This window comes from Homo sapiens, chromosome 9 (assembly GCF_000001405.40).
Source record: "Homo sapiens chromosome 9, GRCh38.p14 Primary Assembly".
Classification (NCBI taxonomy): Eukaryota; Metazoa; Chordata; class Mammalia; order Primates; family Hominidae; genus Homo; species Homo sapiens.
In genome coordinates, this window is record NC_000009.12 from 73,762,362 (window position 1) to 73,766,602 (window position 4,241).

The 4,241-nt window shown below is 40.8% G+C and overlaps 1 annotated feature.

Annotated features, from left to right (window-relative positions):
* Nucleotides 3,118-3,287: an enhancer, noted in NCBI's record as "experimental_108077 CRE fragment used in MPRA reporter constructs". NCBI's record gives its function as "activates a minimal promoter by MPRAs in K562 erythroleukemia cells, with activity observed for the non-introgressed 9:76380480 variant allele {active_cell/tissue: K562}" and the evidence as "EXISTENCE:reporter gene assay evidence [ECO:0000049][PMID:34662402]".

Sequence of the window (4,241 nt, forward strand, 5' to 3'; positions counted from 1 at the left end):
AGGAGTGGACCACCATCTTTGCTGTTTGGACTACTTGGGCTTTGAAGAGTCCAAGCTGATCAGAGGTGGAAGCAATACCCAAGCACAGCATAGCTGCCCTACAAAAATGTGGCCTGGCTGCTGGCTGCTATTTTTAAAGCAGGTTCCCAATCCTGTCCCTCATCGTCAGGTGGAGCCTTCCAACCAGGGTCTCTGGCTACCCCCGCCAGTGTTCTCCAGCTAACAGGTTTCAGGCCTCCCTGGGATGGAGTTCCTAGAGGAGGACCTGGCAGCCATCTTTGCTGTTTGGGCAACGTAGCCATTCCAGCCTTCAAGCTTTGGAGTGTCCAAGGCGACCAGAGGCTGAAGCAGACCCCCACAGAGCATGGCTGCTCTACAAAGATGTGGCCAGTCTGCTTTATTAAGTGGATCCCCAATCCCATTCCTCCTCACTGGGTGAGACCTAGCCACCTCCTACAGGTGTGTTCAAGCTGGCATTAGGTCCATACCTCCCTGGAACGGAACTCCCAGTGGGAGGAGCAGGCTGCCATCTTTGCTGTTTTGTAGCCTTCACTGGTGATACCTTCAGGTACTGAAAAATCTAAGCTGACTAGGGACTGGAGCAGATCCCCAGCATATCACAGCAGCTCTATGGAAAAGTGGCCAGACTGTTATATGGATGTCCATTCCCATATCTCCTCACTGGGCAGGTCCTCTAGGCCTGGGCCTCTAGCCACCCCCAACAAGAGCTCTCAAGCCGGTATCAGCTGTTACTCCCTGGACAGAGCCTCAGAGGGGCAACTGAAAGCCTGTCTGCCACTGCCTCTGCAGTGGAACTGTCCTTGCTACCCTCAGGCTAATGAAGGGGCAAAGACCCTAAGTGCCTTATCCATACCTCCAACAAGTTGCAGTCAACCCAAAGAGAGGAGGTCAGTCCATCTCTCTCAGGTCCCACACACCCACAACTGCTCATCATCAAACAGGGAGCCCCTGGCTTGGGCTCATAGCACGAACTCTCCCTTCTGGGCTGATTGCAATAAGTGATTGCTGACCTGGTCAGTATCACTAATCATTAGACAAATGCAAATTAAAACCATAATGAGATAACATCCCACACTAGTCTCAATGGTTATTATTAAAAAGTCAAAAAAATAATAATAGATGCTGAAGAGGTTGTGGAGAAAGGGGAACACTTGTACACTGTTGGTAGGGGTGTGAATTAGTTCACCCAGTTGTGGAAGACAGTGTGGAGATTCTTAAAAGATCTAAAGACAGAAATATCATTCAAGCCAGCAATCCCATTACTGGGTATATACCCAAAGGAATATAAATTGTTCTATTATAAAGACACATGCACACTCATCTTCATTGCAGCACTATTCACAACAGCAAAGACATGGGGTCAACCTAAATATCTATCAATGCTAGACTGGGTAAAGAAAATTGGTACATATACACCATGTAATACTATGCAGCCATATAAAAGAATGAAATCATGTCCTTTGAAGGGACATGGATGAAGCTGGAGACAATTATGCTTAGCAGACTAACACAGGAACATTTTGCAAATCCCACAAGTTCTCACTTATGAGTGGGAGCTAAATGATGAGAAAACATGGACGTTTAGAAGGAAACAACACATCCTGGGACCTATTGGAGGGTGGAGGGTGGGAGGAGGGAGAGCATCAAGAAAAATAACTAAAGGGTACTAGGCTTAATATGTGGGTGATCTGTAAACAAACCCAATGACACAAGTTTACCTATGTCACAAACCTGTGCATGTACCCCTGAACTTAAAATAAAAATTATGAATAAATAAATAAACACTGTTACTACGATAGAAGAACTAGCTGCTTACCCAGATCAATTCCCAATTCTTCCTGGATTTCCCTGGACTTGAACTCCTTTGGACTATTTACATAAGTGAGAAATAATTTCTTTTTTTTTTTAATTGACTTTTTAAAGTCTACTTTTGCAACAGTTTGACTAACCAAGTTAGTATGGAAACTGTCCAAATTTCAACCTGAGTGGATAAATGCCAGACACAATATTCCCAGTGTCAGATGCAGAAGGCAACTAAGATTCCAACACAGAATATGAATTTTATTATATATATATATATGCTTGCAAATTTGAGCCTTGTGCTAAGATGTACAAATAGCAACAGATCATTTGCTCAAATCTATAGCTTTTTCAATTAATTCTATTGCTAGGGGTGAGGTATCCTAATAACCTATTGGGATTGGAGGAGTGGCCTCCTGGTTGATCACAAATGGGGTGAGCACCTGGAAACATAACCACTTCTAATTAAAATTTTCAATAAATTCTACAGTGTTTATCTCTGTGCATCACACACCTTCTGAAATACCTTTGGTATTTTAAATATTTTGGTGGTAAATTGGTTATATATCTTTGAGGACAGTTAAATTATGGATATGAAATTCTGAGTTGAAAATTATTTTCTTTAAGAATGTTGAATGTTGGCCCCCACTCTCTTCTGGCTTGTAGGGTTTCTGAAGAGAGATCCGCTGTTAGTCTGATGGGCTTCCCTTTGTAGGTAACCTGACCTTTCTCTTTGGCTGCCCTTGTAGCCTATACTACATGGCTGCAGTAACCAAAACAGCATGTACTACAACAGAAATATAGACCAATGGTGCAGAACAGAGGCCTCAAAAATAACACCATACATCTACAACCATCTGATCTTCGACAAATCTGACAAAAACAAGCAATAGGAAAAGGATTCCCTATTTAATAAATAGTGCTGGGAAAACTGCCTAGCCATATGCAGAAAACTGAACCTGGACCCCTTCCTTACAACTTATACAAAAATTAACTCAAGATGGATTAAAGACTTAAACACAAAACCTAAAACTATAAAAACTCTAGAAGAAAACCTAGGCAATACCATTCAGGGCATAGGCATGGGCAAAGACTTCATGACTAAAACACCAAAAGCAATGGCAACAAAAGCCAAAATTGATAAATGGGGTCTAATTAAACTAAAGAGCTTCTGTACAGCAAAGGAAACTATCATCAGAGTGAACAGGCAACTTACAGAATGGGATAAAATTTTTGCAATCTATCTATCTGACAAAGTCTAATATCCAGAATCTACAAGGAACTTGAACAAATTTATAAGAAAAAACAAATAACCCCATCAAAAAGTGGGAAAAGGATACAAACAGACACTTCTCAAAAGAAGACATAAATATGTGGCCAACGAACATATGAAAAAATGCTCATCATCACTGGTTATTAGAGAAATGCAAATCAAAACCACAATGAGATACCATCTCACGCTAGTTAGAATGGTGATCATTAAAAAGCCTGGAAACAACAGATGCTGGCAAGGATGCAGAAAAATAGTAACATTTTTACACTGTTGGTGGGAGTGTCAATTAGTTCCACAATTGTGGAAGACACTGTGATGATTCCTGAAGGATCTAGAACCAGAAATACCATTTGTCCCAGTAATCCCATTACTGGGTATATACCCAAAGGATTATAAATCATTCTACTATAAAGACAGACGCATGCATAGTAGTAATGTTTACTATAGAAACAGTAAATAGTGCTGTTTATTGCAGCACTATTTACAATAGCAAAGACTTCGAACCAATCCAAATACCCATGAATGATAGACTAGATAAAGAAAATATGGCACATATACACCATGGAATACTATGCAGCCATAAAAAAGAATGAGTTCATGTTCTTTGCAAGGACATGAAGCTGTAAACCATCGTCTTCAGCAAACTAATGCAGGAACAGAAAACCAAACACCGCATGTTCTTACTCATAAGTGGGAGTGGAACAATGAGAATACATGGACACGGGGAAGGAAACTTCACACACCAGGGCCAGTCGGGGGTGGGGGGCAAGGGGAGGGAGAGCATTAGGACAAATACCTAATGCATGCAGGGCTTAAAACCTAGATGATGGATTGATAGGTACAGCAAGCCACCATGGCACATATACACTTACATAACAAACCTGCACGTTCAGCACATGTATCCCAGAACTTAAAGTAAAAAAAAAAAAAAAAAAAAAAAAAAAAAAAAAAAAAAAAGTTATGTCTTTCCCTAATCTTCTAACTCAGTAATCACCACAATGTCTCTTTTCTGGGTTCAGAAAAACTACTTAAATTGCTCATCTGTCCATGTCTATTCCACTGTTTTCTTTGTCCTTTTGGAGTTTGTATCTCTTTTGAGCCTTTATTGCCACTGTTATTTTAGTAATGTTTTAGGAGAGTGAGGAAA